This window comes from Homo sapiens, chromosome 16 (genome assembly GCF_000001405.40).
Source record: "Homo sapiens chromosome 16, GRCh38.p14 Primary Assembly".
Taxonomy (NCBI): Eukaryota; Metazoa; Chordata; class Mammalia; order Primates; family Hominidae; genus Homo; species Homo sapiens.
Genome location: NC_000016.10, coordinates 4,946,725 through 4,964,313, shown reverse-complemented (window position 1 = coordinate 4,964,313; position 17,589 = coordinate 4,946,725). Strand labels below are relative to the sequence as shown.

General features: G+C 51.2%; 1 protein-coding gene across 3 annotated transcripts in view, besides 5 other annotated features; it reads right to left on the bottom strand.

The window, feature by feature from the left end:
* The window catches only part of SEC14L5 (SEC14 like lipid binding 5), a 60,828-nt gene extending 54,844 nt beyond the window's left edge, over positions 1-5,984 (bottom strand). Inside the window, exons 1-2 of one of the 3 annotated variants that reach the window (XM_024450497.2) lie at positions 5,759-5,984; positions 4,928-5,041 (exon numbers count right to left, since the gene is read on the bottom strand). In XM_024450497.2, coding sequence (XP_024306265.1) covers positions 4,928-4,990 — 63 coding nt within the window. In that variant the 5' untranslated portion in view covers positions 4,991-5,041; positions 5,759-5,984. The remainder of the gene's footprint in view (positions 1-4,927; positions 5,042-5,758) is intronic. The other 2 variants (XM_024450498.2, NM_014692.2) reach the window with 2 other exon arrangements.
* Positions 5,457-5,992: an enhancer, noted in NCBI's record as "H3K4me1 hESC enhancer chr16:5008323-5008858 (GRCh37/hg19 assembly coordinates)". NCBI's record gives its function as "activates a minimal SCP1, AML or CMV promoter by ChIP-STARR-seq in naive H9 embryonic stem cells {active_cell/tissue: H9 hESC(naive)}" and the evidence as "EXISTENCE:reporter gene assay evidence [ECO:0000049][PMID:30033119]".
* Positions 5,457-6,099: a biological region, named in NCBI's record as "H3K4me1 hESC enhancer GRCh37_chr16:5008323-5008858".
* Positions 5,796-6,091: a silencer, noted in NCBI's record as "fragment chr16:5008224-5008519 (GRCh37/hg19 assembly coordinates)". NCBI's record gives its function as "represses an EF-1alpha promoter that drives an FKBP-Casp9 reporter gene in an ReSE screen in phorbol 12-myristate 13-acetate-treated (for megakaryocytic differentiation) K562 erythroleukemia cells {active_cell/tissue: K562(+PMA)}" and the evidence as "EXISTENCE:reporter gene assay evidence [ECO:0000049][PMID:32094911]".
* Positions 5,890-6,099: a silencer, noted in NCBI's record as "silent region_7171". NCBI's record gives its function as "represses an Ori minimal core promoter by ATAC-STARR-seq in GM12878 lymphoblastoid cells {active_cell/tissue: GM12878}" and the evidence as "EXISTENCE:reporter gene assay evidence [ECO:0000049][PMID:35858748]".
* Positions 15,745-16,502: an enhancer, noted in NCBI's record as "H3K27ac-H3K4me1 hESC enhancer chr16:4997813-4998570 (GRCh37/hg19 assembly coordinates)". NCBI's record gives its function as "activates a minimal SCP1, AML or CMV promoter by ChIP-STARR-seq in primed H9 embryonic stem cells {active_cell/tissue: H9 hESC(primed)}" and the evidence as "EXISTENCE:reporter gene assay evidence [ECO:0000049][PMID:30033119]".

The following is a 17,589-nucleotide window of genomic DNA, read 5'->3' as shown; positions in this document are numbered from 1 at the left end:
CCCGGCCCTGGTTCTTTACCACCCACTTGAGAAAAGAGACAAATAACCTAGACTCGACTCACAATGGACTGGGCAGAGCATGGCCTTCGGGACTCAGGCGACCTGAGCCACATGGCCTTTGTGTCCTCTATGCAAGGACCTCCACAAAGACACCACCACCCCACACACCTTCTGGGACCCGGGCATTCAAAGGACTGACGGACCCTCTCCAACACTGGATACTCCAGCTGCCTCCATTGTCTTAATTGTTTTTCTCTGTTTACCAAGATAATAAAAGCTCATTGTTTTGAACCCAATGATACGGAATGCTATCAAGAAAGAAAGGAAGGCTGAGCGCAGTGGCTCATGCCTATAATCCCAGCCCTTTGGGAGGCCAGGGTGGGAGGATCACTTGAGCCCAGGAGTTCAAGACCAGGCTGGGCAACATAGTGAGACCTCATTTCTATAAAAGTATTTATAAATTTTTATATAGTAGAATTTAAAAACTAGCCGGGTATGGTGGTGCATGCTTGTACTCCCAGCTAAGGCTGTACTCTGGAGACTAAGGCAGGAGGATGGCTTGAGCCCAGGAGTTCAAGGCTGCAGTGAGCCATGATTGCATCACTGCACTCCAACCTCAGCAACAGGGCGAGACTCTGTCTCAAAAAGAAAGAAAAAAGGGAGCAAAAGCCTGGGCCCAGTGGCTCGCGCCTCTAATCCCAGCACTTTGGGAGGCCAAGGCGGGCGGAACACTTGAGGTCAGGAGTTCAAGACCAGTCTGGCCAGCATGGTGAAACCCCGTCTCTACTAAAAATACAAAAATTAGTCAAGTGTGGTAGCACATGCCTGTAATCTCAGCTACTCAGGGGGCTGAAGCAAGAGAATCACTTGAACCCAGAAGGCGGAGGTTGCAGTCAGCCAAGATCATGCCACTGCACTCCAACCTAGATGACAAAGCGAGCGAGACTCCATCTTAAAAAAAAAATAGTTGGGAGGAGGAAAGATACCCTAGAATCCTTCTCTTTAGAAGCAAAATTCGTGGGAAGGGATTTGGAGAGAAATCTCTGTTTATTTGACTAGATAAATTTTTTAAGTGAGAGTATTAATTTTTAAAAATGTTTAAAGCCAGGTCTAGAAAGGTTACCTCAAAGCACAATTTTGTAATCAATTACTCAAGCCCAATTTCAGTCATTTGTGTCATTGTCAGTGGAGTTTTGAAGAAGCTAGGAGCATTTTGATTCTGAAGTCAGTTTTGTTAAACAGAAAAACTGAAAGGCCAGCTTTTCTGGTCACTCGGATGCAGTGAAAATAGCTGAGTTCATCTGAAACTTCCCCGGCATCTGACCCAATCTGAGGGCAAGTGTTTAACTGCGAAACAAAGACGAACATTAAGCATAGAAAACCCCTTTTGTGCTTCCACAGTGTGCAAGTTACGTTGAGTTATGCAGCTATTTTGGGGACAATAATGTTTTGTAAACAGTCGGCAAAGTGGCTTTGTTGGCAGTGTTGCTGTGGCTTGGGACCATTTCACAGACAAGGACTGTATGGAAGATAGAATGACAGGGTTGTGGCAGTCCCTCTGGAAAATACAAATGACTTAAATTAACGCAGGTACAGATAAGGAAGTTTTTTTTTTTTTTTTTTTTTTGAGACAGAGTTTCACTCTTCCCCCAGGCTGGAGTGCAATGGCACGATCTCGGCTCCCTGCAACCTCCGCCTCCCGGGTTTAAGCGATTCTCCTCTCTCAGCCTCCCGAATAGCTGGGATTACAGGTGCTTGCCACCATACCCAGCTAATTCTTGTATTTTTAGTAGAGACAAGGTTTTACCATGTTGGCCAAGCTCGTCTCGAACTCCTGACCTGAGGTGGTCCGCCCGCCTTAGCCTCCCAAAGTGTTGGGATTACAGGCATGATCCACCATACCTGGCCACAGATAATATAGATTTGAAAGCCTTTTTTTCACTCTACCCACAGGTGTCAGTACCTAGAGACTCAACAGCGAAGGGAGTAAATGGAGCCGTGCCTTCATTTGTGGAACCTGAAGCTTACAAAATATGTTTAACATACCCAATACAGGCAATGCGAGTACATTACTAGTGCTATTCATATAGTTTTTCTGTTGTTTTTGTTTTCTTTTCTTTTTTTCTTTTTCTTTTTTTTTTTTTTTTTGAGACAGAGTCTCGCTCTGTTGCCCAGGCTCGAGTGCAGGACTGTGTGTCCAGTCCTGTCTTATTCTATGAATAAGCACCCAGCCCCCATTTTCTTGATTTGTGAAATGGGGATGACTGTATGCCTATATGCGCCTCATAAGGTTGTCATGAAGATGAAAAGTGATTGTGTGTGTGTGTGTCTGTTTGCCTCGCACAGGGCCCAGTCCTACCAAGTGACAATAAGTGGTCGATAAACATAAATAATCACCCTTAGTTTAAGGCTCTGGCAGCTCACATGTTCTAAGACCCAAGCACTTGTTCATTCATTCATAAGAAGAGAGAAACTGTCCCCACCCTTCTCTGACAGTCCAAGGACCCATGGTTCTCTGCCATGAATCTGAGACACATTAACTATAGGATGGAAAACCATCTACTGCATGTGCTTAATAAATTCCAACTTAATTTGTCACGTTTAGGGTTCTGAAAATATTTACAATCATTGCACTTGAAAATAAGCCATGCCCATGAATATAGCACTTAAGGCTATATGAATAGGGGCCGGATGCAGTGAGTCACCCCTGTAATCCCAGCACTTTGGGAGGCCGAGGCTAGTGGATCACTTGAGGTCAGCAGTTCGAGACCAGCGTGGCCAACGTGATGAAACCCCGTCTATACTGAAAATACAAAAATTACCTGGGCATGGTGGTGTGCATCTGTAATCTCAGCTACTCAGGGGGCTGAGGCACGAGAATGGCTTGAACCTGGGAGGCAGAGGTTGCAGTGAGCCAAGATGGCACCACTGCACTCCAGTCTGGGCAACAGAGTGAGACTCAGTCTGGAAAAAGTAAAAGAAAATGGGGCTCAGAAAAGTTCAGCAACTTTGTTGTTGTTGTTGTTGCTGTTGTTGTTGTTGAGACGGAGTCTCGCTCTGTCACCCATGCTGGAGTGTTGCGGCGCAATCTCGGCTCTCTGCAACGTCTGCCTCCTGGGTTCAAGAGATTCTCCTGCTTCAGCCTCCCGAGTAGATGGGACTACAGGTGCGCGCCACCACGCCCGGCTAATTTTTCTTGTATTTTTAGTTGAGTTGGGGTTTCACCGTGTTACACGGGATTGTCTTGATCTCCTGACCTTGTGATCCACCCACCTCGGCCTCCCAAAGCGCTGGGATTACAGGTGTGAGCCACTGCACCCGGCTTAAGTTCAGCAACTTTCTAAAAACATACAACCAGAGCATGGCAGAGCACAGCAGAACCCTAAAGCATCTGAATTCACGTCCCTGGATCTCTTCACCATCCCCTGGTGTTCCACTCCCATTACGCAGAAGCAAAGTCACTCAGGCACTTGCAAAAACAGTAACGATCATAGCTGGATCTCAGTGAGCATTTGATCTGCGTCAGCCCCGTACCAGGAGCTTTATACACATTGACTCATTTAATCCACAGCATGACACCAGGATTTGGAAGCCAGGAGATTCCCATTGGTGATGGGGAGTGGAGGCTCATGGAGGTGAAGTGACTTGCCCCACAGTCACTCAGCTCGTCAATTGGGGAGCTAGAATATGACCCTAAGCCAGTTCCTGCCTCTTTGCTGTCCTAGAACCATCTGCCTGTAACAGCACAAGGTATGTGGATGATTTTGGTGATGCTTTTAAATCCTCTGTGTGACAATAAACATATACGCATGTAGATTCATAGAATAAGACAGGACTGGACACACAGGCACACACAGCCACCAAGAGATATGAAAGTCCCTGGATAGAAGGCTGGGGTTAAGCAGTCAGTGCTGGGGTGGGACAGATGGGGGTGGATGCTAATGTTTCTTACACTTTCAATACATTAATTTACAAGACTTCGGTGTAATAACAGCGACAGCATATTTTGTGAGCTCCTACTGTGTGCCCGGCACACAGCAAGGAGCACCAAGAACTATCTCATTTACTCCTCCCCGCAACCTTGTAGCATTGTCCCCATGTTACTGAGCAGGGAAGTGAAGTGCTCAGAGGCAGAGGGATGCAGCCAAGAAGGAATTCCACATCCACCTATGTCCAGCTTCTGCCCCCAGGGTGAAAAGACCAGTGATCCTGGGGGCCAAGGATCTGGCAGCCAATTCTAGGCCTCCAACTGACTTGCTGCACAACACAGAGTACATCACAAAGCAAACCTACCCACTCATTCTCTCTCTCGTCCCAGTGTCAGCTTCCTTAAAGGGGAGGGAAGGGGGTCTGTGAGCAGAAGGAGGGCTCTGTGGTCAAATGTGAGGTTCTAGAGTCTCCTTTGTGGGGATCTCAGCCCCGACTCCACCTCTGCGTAGATACAGAACTTAGTGTCATCCCTTCACCTGTCAAAGCCTCAGTTTCATGGAGGTTACATGGGAAAATAACAGCTATCGGGAATTGGAAGAAACATCATCTGTTAAGACAGTGCTGTAAACATTCAATAAACAGCTGTTGTCATTATCACCACCATTCCATTTATCACTGTGATATGCCATTATATGAAATGACAGCAGTGGCTTGGCCCCTGATACCTTTGTTTTCTATCAGGAGAGTCTAAAGTAAGGGAGCAGGTCAGCTTCAACAAGGAGAAGGAAGAAAGACTTTGTGTTTTGGTCACTGGGCCGAGGATAGGATGGTTGGACAGAGAGGTCACTGGATAGAAGTTAAACCCACCAGGTCAGCTGAGTAACTCACTAATTCCTTCTGATCTGGGAGTCTAAGGAGCTCCGTCTTCCTACCGCCATAGCTGATCTCAAGCCCCTCCAACTGTCACATGGGGGCCCAAGAATCAGGAGTCACTCACCGCCATGACCAGCTCAAACGGGTACTTGTAGACTCGGACAGGAGACTGGTATCTTTGCACCATGTTCACGCTGGAGCACCAATGGAGGTCACCAGGCAGGGGTGTGCACAGAGCCTGGGGCGAGGAGTGACTGGTGAGGTTGCAGCTCCCACCTCGGGAAGCAGGGACACCACCCACCAAGTGTAAGGGGCAGCCCCTGGCCCCACCCACACAGCTCCCCAGCCTTCAAATTGAGAAGGCTGATATTCCCCCCAAATTACTCCAGGCCAAGCCCCAACAGCTTCCCTGTCATTAGCCATGGCCCCAGACCACGCTCAGCCTTCCAAGAGCAGTCAGCACCCCCAAACTTTCCTCTACCCCCACCCCTTCACACTGAGGGCCCCCAGAAGCCTTACGGCCACCCACACAGACACACACACATTTGCAATTCTTACACTCCCACGGTTCTATTCACGCATGCACCCCGCAGCTTGCCACAGACTTGCTGGCCTACAGCCCACCCCCGAGTCTCCTTGCACCTGCCCTCCCATTTTCCTCCCAGACACCCTGACATACACACACAGCCTTCACCACATTTCACAGGCACTGTCTCTATCACACACATGTACACACGCAGGTTTCCCTCCCACACGGGACTGCTTTTGCACACGCCTCCAACTTTGCACACACACCCTGAAACACGCACCTGCCCAGCTCCACGCACGCAATTCCCCTGGTGTGCACAGACGTGCACACACGCACACACACCCGTGCGCACATGCACACACACGTACACACACGTAGAGGCAATCGCACACGCATGCACACACAGGTCCCCGCAGCTTTGCTCACCCTCGCCCTCGGGAGCCTTTGGGAATGCAGCCTAGGGGAAGTGCCCTGGAAGCCCGCCTGGCTCGGGAGCTGAGCGCTTACCCGCGCCCGCCTGGCCTGGAGCGCAGTACCTGAGGCGGGGCCCGATCGCGGATCTCTAGCCTGGTGTGTCCCGCCTTGAACACCCTGCGGCCAGGACAGCTGTGGAAGGCCGGAGGGGCGGGAGCGAAACCTGCCGGGCCGAGAGAGCTCCAGGACCCGGGACAGCGGAGATCCTGGCCTGGCCCCGCCCCTGACCTGGTCCCGCCCACGTCCCCGGCCATGGCCCCGCCCAGGTTGGCCCTGCCCCCTAACTGGTCCCGCCCCACTCTGGCCCCGCCCCAGGCGAACTCCCCCTGGTTCTAGCCCCGCCCCTTATTTTTAGATGTCGCTTGTTTGACCACGCCCTCAGCCCAGTCCTTTCTCTAGATTGGTCACACCTCAGGAAGTCCCCTCCCCCTTCACTGGCCCCGCCCTCCAAGGCCCTCAGCCTCGGGGAATGGTAGGCCACAGGACGACCCCGCCCTAATCTAGCTCTGCCTCCAAGCAGACCCTGAGTCCGGGCCGACCCGCCCCGGACCCTGCGTCTGGCCGACAGTACTGTTTACATTTGTAGATAAGCAGAATTTACGCTTTTCTTGCTCAGATTAACCTCGCCCTCGTCCCGCTGCACTTGGGTCTGACTGGCTCCTCCACCTGTCCCCGCCCCACGGCCCGCGCATGCACCTTCGCCCACTCTGCACACCTTCACAGAGCGCCTGCTGGGGGTCAGCCCTGTCCAGGCGCTGGAGAGCCGCCGGTGAGCCACACGCACGAATCCCTGCCCTCGTGGAGTTTATACTACGGTGGGGAGACAGACACTCAATAAATAAGGCAAATATATGATGTGTGAGGTAGTGAAAAACTCTAACGAGAGAAAAATAAGCAGGAAAGGGGCTCAAGGAGCCAGCGGAGAGAAAGGACAATTTAAAACAGGTAAGAGGCCGGGCGCCATGTCTCACGCCTGTAATCCAAACACTTTAGGAGGCGGAAGCGGGAGGACCGCTTGAACCCAGGAGTTGGAGACCACCCTGGGTAACATAGCAAGAACCTATCTCTACAAAAAAATTTTTTTTTAGTTTAGGCAGGGCGCGGTGGCTCACGCCTGTAATCCCAGCACACTGAGAGGCCAAGGCAGGCAGATCAGCTGAGGTCAGGAGTTCGAGAACAGCATGGCCAATATGAGGAAACCCCGTCTCTACTAAAATACAAAATTAGCCGGGCATGGTGGCGTATACCTGTAATCTCAGCTACTCGGGAGGCTGAGGCAGGAGAATCGCTTGAATCAAGGAGGCGGAGGTTGCAGTGAGCCGAGACTGCGCCACTGCACTCCAGCCTGGGCAAGAAGAACAAAGCTCCGTCGCAAAAAAAAAAAAAAAAAATTAGCCAGGCGTGTTGGCACGTGCCTGTGGTCCCAGCTACTCAAGAGGCTGAGGCAGGAGGATCCCTTGAGCCCAGAAGTTCAAAGCTGCAGTGAGCTGTTACCTGGCCACTGCACTCCAGCCTGGGCAACAAAGCAAGACTCGGTCTCAAAATAAATAAGTAAATAAATAAATAAAACAGGGAGTAAGGGGGCCTCCCTTGGGAGAGTGACATTTGTCCATCACTCTCATTTTAACTCACACTTAACCCCTTTCAGCCCTCCCAGGACTCCCAGGGGACCAACCTTGCTCCCAGAAGTCCTGCCTTGCCACTCCTCATCTGTTTAGCCTACAAGACCCAAGAAATTGGCTCTGGACAGTGCTGTCATCCATGTATTCACTCATTCAACATTTACTGAGCACCTACTACGTGCCACCGTGGGGTGAATTCACCCCTTCAAGCAGGGGAAGTCAGAGGTGGCCAGGGAGATGGACAACCCCTGATATATTTCAAGTATGTCACTGCACCCTGTGAAAATCACCTCTCTTCCCTTCCTAGCCTGCATCACATTCTAATATTGCATTTATTCGTTTTATATATCTGTGGGTTCCTGGAGGTCTCTCTCAGGAGACTGTGAGCTCCCTGAGGGCAGGGGCAGTGGCTGCCTTATTCAGCTGCCCGCATGTTGGGAAGGATCTTACTGGGGACCTGGCAGGCAGGCAGCAGGTGCCCAGCAGACTCTTGGCTTAGGTAATCAAGGGCGGAAATGGGACACAAAGTTCCCATCCCTGTCGCAAGGTGGCAGCAAATGATAGCCCATGGCTCCTGGAGTAACACAAGGGTGAGTAGGTGGGGGACATGGGATCCAGGGATGACTGTCCTAACCCGGGCTCATCCAGGAAATGCCCAGCTCTGCCCAGGCATCGCCACAGAGCAAAGTGAACGTTAACACCGTTAGCTGCTGTTACCACCACGAAAGGCGTTAAGTCCGCCTCTCCTGCTGCCCAACATTGAGGGAGGACAATGACTGCGTGGGAGACAGAGGTGTGACAGCCCTGCGGGTACAGAGAGCTCAAAGTGGAAACTGGGGCCTGGAGGGGAGTGAGAACCCCACTCCCTCCTCCTCCAGCCCCAGGGAAGGGAATTAATAACGCCACCAACACTCACTCCAGCTTTTTTTGGGTTTTGGGGTTTTTTTTTTACGTGGAGTCTTGCTCTGTTGCCCAGGCTGGAGTGCAGTGGCGCAGTCTCGGCTCACTACAACCTCCGCCTCCCAGGTTCAAGCAATTCTCCTGCCTCAGCCTCCCGAGTAGCTGGGATTACAGGCGCTTGCCACCACACCTGGCTAATTTTTGTATTTTCAGTAGAGACAGGTTTCATCATGTTGGCCAGGCTGGCCTCAAACTCCTGACCTCAGGTGATCCACCCGCCTCAGCCACCCAAAGTGCTGGGATTACAGACATGAGCCACCACACCTGGCCCAGTTGCCTATTATTACTGTTCTACTAATTATTCCTACCACTTGTTGACACTCCATTGGCGCTTACTATACCTAGCACCATTCTAAAGCTTTACAAACACGAATGCATTTAATCCTCAAAGCAACCCCAGAGCAATGAAAATGTCTTGGAATGTGATAGAGGTGGTGGTTGCACAACGTTGCAAATGCACATGCCACTGAATTGGGGCCACAATATTAAAATGATTAATTTTCTGTTACGTGGCTTTCATCTCAATTAAAAGCCCATATACAGTCAAAACTATTTTAATCCTCATCTTACACGTAGGGAAACTAAGGCACAAGGCACAGAGAGACTGAATAACTTGCCCAAGGCCACACAGCTAGTAAGGAACTCATACCCAGGACTCTCGTTCTCCAATGACTTCTTCTCCTAGAGCTGCAGCTGATGCTCCGGGAAGATGTGATTTCCAAGCCCTGAACTGCAAGATCTCCAGGCACCCTGGCTCCAGGACAAGAAGGCGCTGCAAGGATAGGCTGATTCCCCAGGGGTGCTGGGCATGAACTCAGTCCCAGGGCAGGATCTTTAGCCTCTATCTGCTGCTTCCCACCTGCCCTGCAAGAATGACCCAGCCAATGCTGCCTTTTGTGGAGGTGGGTTTTGGGAACCCCAGAAACCACCTCATGTCTCTGAATGTCTTCCCAGCAGATGGGCCACTGCCAGAGAAGATTCAACCATTAGTGATGCATTTGTTTGAGTAAAACTCTGGACCCCATCCAAAGGCAGATGTTCCTGGAAGGCATCCTGCTGGGAATGTCCTGAGTTGAATGGCTCAGTGTGACATTGAGAATGGGGGTTAAGACCCTGGAATACATAATGGGCCCTGGGATGGCTCTGAAGCTGAAGAAGATGCAGTAAGCAGGGTACGGTCCCCAGCTTAATTTTATTGTGGCAAAATGGTCCGAGCACAGTGGCTCATGCCGGTAATCCCAACAGTTTGGGAGGCCGAGGTGGGCGGATCACCTGAGGTCAGGAGTTCGAGACCAGCCTGGACAACATGGCAAAAACCTGTCTCTACTAAAAATGAAAAAATTAGCCAGGCATGGTAGCGCATGCCTGTAATCCCAGCTACTCAGGAGGCTGAGGTAGGAGAATCACTTGAACCTGGGAGGTGGAGGGTGCAGTGAGCTGAGATCACACAACTGCACTCCAGCCTGGGCAACAGAGTGAGACTCCATCTCAAAAAAAAAAAAAAAAAAGAAAAAAATCAGCTGGGCACGATGGCTCATGCCTGTAATCCCAGCACTTTGGGAGACCGAGGTGGGCAGATCACCTGAGGTTGGGAGTTCGAGGCCAGCCTGATCAACATGAACAAACCTCGTCTCTACTAAAAATACAAAATTAGCTGGGTGTGGTGATGCATGCCTGAAATCCCAGCTACTGGGGAGGCTGAGGCAGGAGGATCGCTTGAACCCGGGAGGCAGAGGTTGCGGTGAGTCAAGATCATGCCATTGCACTCCAGCCTGGGCAACAAGAGAGAAACTCCATCTCAAAAAAAAAAAAAGCACATAACACAAAAGTTACCATTTTAACCATTTCTTAGTGTGCTGCATGCCTGTAATCCCAGCTACTCAGGAGGCTGAGGCAGGAGAATTGCTTGAACCCAGCAGGTGGAGGTTGCAGTGAGCCAAGATCATGTCATTGCACTCCAGCCTGGGTGACAGAGCGAGACTCTATCTCAAAAAAAAAAAATGCACATAACACAAAAGTTACCATTTTAACCATTTCTTAGTGTACAATTCTCTGGCTTTTGGTATATTCACAAGATGCACGTACAGCCAGCACCACTTTCTAGTTTTGGAACATTTTCATCACCCCAAAAGGAAACTCATACCCATGAAGCTGTCACTCCTCCTTCCTCCCTTCCCGCAGCCCCTGGAAACCATCCATCTGTTTATCTGCTTCCTGGGGGACATCTCATTCGTCCCGGGTGGCCTCTACGTTGTGTTGCTTCTTGCCCCTTCTCGAAGCAGAGCCCTGAGGCCTCCTGGATTTGGGAATCTCCAGGGCTATCATGATGGTTGGCAGGGCTGTTACGTACAGGTGTATAGGTTGTAACCTGCACAACTCTGTGGAACAGTCCTGGTCATGGGAGCAGCTTTGACTGAGCAGAGGCTGAGTCTGAGGCAGTCTGACCCAGGGGGCTACACAGCCAGGACCCACCCACCTTGACCCCCAGCCGGGCACCCAAGTCCATTCACTTCACAAAGACTTCTGGGCTCCACCAACTGCTACATGAAGCCCAAAGGAGAGAATGGAACACAGCGGGAGGAGGGTGGCCCAGGGGATGGGAGGGGTGGCCCTGTGGGAGGGGTCAGGTGGCCGGGCACTTGGGGCGGGTACAGGAGTCAGACCAACCTTGATGTGCGTTCTGACCCTGCCACCCCCTAGCTTTGTTGCCTCAATGTCCCCTCTTTTTTTTTTTTTTTTTTTTTTGAGACAGAGTCTCACTCTATCGCCCAGGCTGGAGTGCAATGGCGTGATCTCGGCTCATTGCAAGCTTCGCCTCCCAGGTTCATGCCATTCTCCTCCCTCAGCCTCCCGAGTAGCTGGGACTACAGGCGCCCACCACCACGCCCGGCTAATTTTTTTGTATTTTTAGTAGAGACGGGGTTTCACCGTGTTAGCCACCATGGTCTCGATCTCCCGACCTTGTCATCCACCCGCCTCGGCCTCCCAAAGTGCTGGGATTACAAGCATGAGCCACTGCGCCCAGCCAATGTCCCCTCCTTTTAACATGGGGTAACATGGGCTGTGCACAGTGGCTCACGGCTGTAATCCCAGCACTTTGGGAGGCTGAGGTGGGTGGATCACCTGAGGTCGGGAGTTTGAGACCAGCCTGGCCAACATGGCAAAACCCATCTCTGCTAAAAATACAAAAATTGGCTGGCGTGGTGGCGCACCCCTGTAATCCCAGCTACTCGGGAGGCTGAGGCAGGAGAATTGCTTGAACCCGGATTGTGGAGGTTGCAGTGAGCTGAGATCATGCCACTATACTCCAGCCTGGGCAATAGAGTGAGACTCCATCTCAAAAAAAAAAAAAAATAGGGGTAACATGAAAAATTATTCAGCATTAGAGAGGAATAAAGCACCCACACGCACTACGACTTGGATGAACCTGGAGGACATTATGCTGAACGGGCAAGAACTGAGTGATTCCACATCTGAGTCACCTAGAGGAGCCCAATCCACAGGGACAGAAAGAAGAACGGTGGCGGGGCTAGGGGCTGGGGGGAGGGGCATGGGGAGTTAATTAATGGACACAGAGTTTGGGTTTTAGAAGATGAAAAGAGTTCTGGGCCGGGCACAGTGGCTCGCGCCTGTAATCCCAGCACTTTGGGAGCCCGAGGCGGGCGGATCACGAGGTCAGGAGTTTGAGACCAGGCTGGCCAACATAGTGAAACCCCATTTCTACTAAAAATACAAAAATTAGCCGGCCATGGTGGCACGCACCTGTAATCCCAGATACTCGGGAGGCTGAGGCAGGAGAATCGCTTGAACCCAGGAGGCGGAGGTTATGGTGAGCCAAGATTGCACCACTGCACTCCAGCCTGGGCAACAGAGCGAGACTCTCAAAAAAAAAAAAAAAAAAAAAGGAGTTTTGGAGATGGATGGTGTGATGGTTACACAATAATGTGAATGCCACTGAACTGCACACTGAAAAATGATTAATTAAGATGGGCAATGTTTTATATATATCTTACTGCAATAAAAAAAATAACAGGAGCTGGTCTGAGTGCAGTGGTGTTTACAACTAATTGTCTCAACCCGTTGCAGATGTGTTTGTTTTGTTTTGTTTTGTTTTGTTTTCTCCACTCCCACTGCTTCACCTGATTAGCCTTGTTTTAAAAAATCACATTGAGGCCAGGCACAGTGGCTCACTCCTATAATCTCAGCACTTTGGTAGGCCAAGGTGGGCAGATCATCTGAGGTCAGGAGTTCGAGACCAGCCTGGACAACATGGTGAGACCCTGTCTCTACAAAAAAATACAAAAATTAACCAGGCGTGGTGGCAGGCCCCTATAATCCCAGCTACTCGGATGGCTGAGGTATGAGAATCGCTTGAACCTGGAGGCAGAGGTCGCAATGAGCCGAGATTGTGCCACTGCACTTCAGCTTGGGTGACAGAGTGAAACCCCGTCTCAAAAAAAAAAAAAAATCACATTGGAAACTTTTTTTTTAATGGGGTTAACCATAGTGTTATCCTGAAGGTTGGTGGAAATTGCGTGAGGAAAAGTAATTGCACAGGGACCACCAGAGGACCCGGGTACATGTTTGTAACTGTGCGGGCTTAGAAGGAGGGGCATTTCCCACGGGAATTTAGGGTGAAGGGGAGTGAGGACTTGACGTTGGACATTTGAGGGGGTGGCCAACACAGTATAGGAAGGTGATAACTCTGCCTTTTGGAGATACAGAATTCATTTATTTAAAGTATGCAATTCAGCTGGGTCTGATGGCTCACCTCTATCATCCCCGAACTTTGGGAGGCCGAGCCAGGAGGATTGCTTGAGGCCAGAAGTTCCAGGCTGCAGTGAGCAATGATCACACCACTGCACTCCAGCCTCAGCAGTACAGCAATACCCTTGGCTGGGCACAGGGGATCACACCTGTAATCTCAGCCCTTTGAGAGGCCAAGGAGAGAGGACCAGTTTAGCCCAGGAGTTCAAAACCAGCATGGGCAAAATAGTAAGGCTCCAGTCTCTACAAAAAATTTTAAGGCCGGGTGAGGTGGTTCACGCCTATAATCCCAGCACTTTGGAAGGCCGAGGCAGGCAGATCACAAGGTCAGGAGTTCAAGACCAGCCTGACCAACATAGTGAAACCCCATCTGTACTAAAAATACAAAAAAAATTAGCCGGGCATGGTGGCAGGCACCTGTACTCCCAGCTACTTGGGAGGCTAAGGCAGGAAAATTGCTTGAACCCGGGAGGCAGAGGTTGCAGTGAGCCGAGATCGTGCCACTGCACTCCAGCCTAGGCAACACAGCAAGACTCTGTCTCAAAAAAAAAAAAGTAAAAATAAAAAACAGGGGCCGGGCGTGGTGGCTCATGCCTGTAATCCCAACAGTTTGGGAGGCCGAAGTGGGCAGATCACCTGAGGTCGGGAGTTCAAGACCAGCCTGACCAACATGGAGAAACCCTGTCTCTACTAAAAATACAAAATTAGCCGGGCGTGGTGATGCATGCCTGTAATCCCAGCTACTCAGGAAGGCTGAGGCAGGAGAATCACTTGAACCTGGGAGGCGGAGGTTGCGGTAAGCTGAGATCGCGCCACTGCACTCCAACCTGGGCAACAAGAGCAAAGCTCCATCTCAAAAAAAAAAAAAAAAAAAAAAAAAAAAGGAGAGAGAGAGAGAAAGACCCTGTCAAAAAAAAAAATAAAAAAAAAAAGAGTGCCATCCAGCCGGTTTTGGTAGTTTCAGAGTTGCACAACCATCAGCATGGTCAATTTGAGAGCACTATCATCACCTGTGCCCCTTAGCAGTCACTCGCCACTCCCCTCTCCCCAGCAGCCACAGTCTCCTTTCCATCTCTACGAATTCACCTCTGAACATTTCACAGGCAGGATCGTATAATATGTGCCGTTGTGTATCTGGCTTTTCTTACTGAGCCTAATGTGCTCACGGTCAACCATGCTGAAGCGCATGTCAGGCCTTCACTCCCCTTTTTTTTTTTTTTTTTTTTTTGAGACACAGTCCCACTCTGTCACCCAGGCTGGAGTGCAGAATCGCGATCTCAGCTCACTGCAACCTCCGCCTCCCGGGTTCAAGCGATTCTCCTGCCTCAGCCTCCTGAGTAGCTGGGATTACAGGCGCCCACCACCACACCTGGCTTATTTTTTTGTATCCGTGAGTGGCTTCTGTTGTGGGTTAGATTGCACTGAGTGCCATGATTGGTGAGCAGGGAAAGAGGGTGGGAAGTGCAGGGCAGATTACAATGTAGGGACCAGGTGGGCTGCGCTGAGAAGGTGACTTGGCACAAAGGCTTGGAAGAAGAGCAGGGGGTCCACGTAGAGAGTGGGGCCAAGGGGGCAGCCGATGCAAAGGCCCTGAGGCAGGAGCATACTTGGCGTGTTTGAGTATTGGGGAGGCGGTCAGTGTATCGGGGGTAGAGTTAGTGGGAGGGAAGTGGCGGGGAAGAGAGCAGACTCTGAGGGGAGCCTGAGGGAGGGGGTCTCATGGGTTATCTGGCTCTGATGCTGAGGTACTCAGAGTGTCTGGGAGGTATGGGACAGGGGAGTCTGCTGACTTCACTTTAGCCCTCTGGTTGCTGTGTTGGGAATAGATTGTAGTTGACCACGGTGGAGGAGGGGGAAGGGTGCAGAGAGCACGGAGGAGGAGCCAGGAGGAGGGAGGCCACCAAAGTGACCTCAGGAATCTGGAGGTGAGGGGGTGAGACCCTAGATCTCTTGCCCAGGTAGATGCTGTAGGAATGGAAAGGGAGACCCAGGAGAACCAGGAAGGGGAAGCTGTTCCTAGAGAGCGCATCCGTGGAGCGGATGCAGACAGAGGAACCTGGGGAAAACGACCTCTTGTCATTGGAGCCGGACAGTCCCACCTGAAGGTCAGCTCAGGTCTTCAGGAGCTCTCAGTGTGTGATTCTGACCACCAAGCAGGGGTCAGAACAAGGGACTGGCCGCTGGGGAGGGGCCACAGGCACCAACACCCAAAGCTCAGCCCCATCAACACAGCGACTCCAGGGACCCCCCAGCTCAGTGCCTGAGGCCTCAGCTGCCACCCAGCCCCTCTAGGCTGCCCCTGCCAAGAAGAGGACCAGGGACCCGAGCTGTCCTCTTCTCCATGCCTGGGCCCAGGTGGACCCTGCGACAGCCACCAGATGCACGCTGCTACTTACGTTTGCATTAATTAAATTCTGTAAATATGAATATGCTCTATATTTACATAAATAACAATACACATAAACAATAAAATTAACAATTCAGGCTGGGCGTGGCGGCAGGCGACTGTCATCCCAGCACTGTGGGAGGCTTAGTCCGGAGGATGGCTTGAGCTCGGGAGTTCAAGGCACCCTGGGCAACACAGTGAGAATCTCCCATCTCTACAAAAAATAAATTAATGGATTAAAATGAATTTTTAAAAATTAACAATTCAATTCCTCAGTTGCACTAGTCACATTTCACGTGCTCAGTAGCCACATGTGGCTTGCCGCCTCCATGTATACAGAATATTTCCATTGTCACAGGCAGTTTTATTGGACAAGGCTACACTGAGGTCTCCCCACCCCCAACCAGTGGAGGGGGGCCTTTTGGCTGGGGACAGGGGACAGGATGGTCTGGGTAGCGGGAGGTCAGGGACTCCAGGGCTGAAAGGAGGAGTATTTGCCCAGAGCGGAGTCCTGGGCGTGTGTGGGGATTAAGCCTGAGCTTGTGATTAGAGAATGGCCTGGGAGGCGGCTGATGGGGGCTTGGCTGCCTGGGCCCAGCAGGAATGTTTGAGCTCAGCAGAGAGCGTGAACAAAGAGTGGAGGCAGAGCCAGGCAGGCAGGCAGGTGGAGGACGAGCTCACGGAGACACAGGGCAGCTCCGTTCTGAAGCGGAAATGGCAAAACACGACACCTAATAGCAGGCAGCTTCCTTTTTTCACTTGCTACACCCTCAGCTTCCCTGTGAGGCCCACAGGCCTCCCCGAATTCCTCCCAGACTAGGGCAGTTTTGTAATTTACCACCGCTTCCCCCACTGATGGGCACTTAGGTTATTTCATTTGTAAAAAATGTGGTTATCTGTTTGCTTTTCTGTCCCTCCTCCCTTCCAAGACAGGGGGCCCCCAGGATGTGAGGGATGTATCGTGTTTGCTACTATATCCCCAGAGCCGGGTACACAGTAGGTGCTCAATAAATGGATGAGTGACTTGTGGGAGGTATTGTGGGGGCAAGAGGTCGAGATCCTCCACGGGGGTTGGGGAGGAGCCTGGCTCCTGGGAAATGTCAGTGATGCAGAAAACACGATGAGGGAACCTGACGCCCTGCAAGCTAAGGCCTCCCCTTCCTCACCGGGTCCTCAACCACCCTCAGACTGGAGTCTGGCCACTTTCCTCATAGTGTCCCTGGGCCCCCACCTGACGGTGACTCTGTGCCGACTGCAGACTTTGTCTCCTGGGGCACACAGAAGAGGCGCCATGATCCACCCAAGGGGACCTCAAACTTACATTGTTTGTCCATTCCCACTCCTGTCTCCCACAGCAAGCTCCCTGGGAGCAGGAACCTGAGTCTATTGTACTTGATCTTGAATCCTGAGTGCCTAGAACAGGACTTGTCACGTAGCAGGTGCTTAGTAAATATTTGACAAATGAAGGGATGGATGGATGGATGGATAGATGGATGGATGGATGGATGGAGGAAGGGAGGGAGAGAGGGAAGAATGGAGGGATGAAGATATGGATGGATGGATGCAGGAATGGAGGGATGAAGAGATGGATGGAGGAATGGAGGGATGAAGAGATGGATGGATGGATGGATGGATGGATGGAGGAATGGAGGGATGAAGGGATGAAGAGATGGATGAATGGATGGATGGAGGAAGGAAGGGAGGGAGGGAAGGAGAGATGGAGGGATGGAGAGATGGAGGGATAGATGGATGAATGGATGGATGGATAGATGGATGGATGGAGGGATGGATGGATGGATGGAGGGATGGATGGATGGATGAACAAACCAATGAACCTCTTCTCTTCCATCATAGTTTTAACTTAGGACCTACTAACCCTTTCCTGGTCCTCCCCTAAGGGGACCTTCTCCGGGATCACAACAGTACACTGGTCCTCCCACTCATTCATTTATTCATTCAACAATGACACTGAACACCCACTCTGTTGCCCAGGCTGGAGTGCAGCAGTACAATCTCGGCTCACTGCAACCTCCACCTCCTGGGTTCAA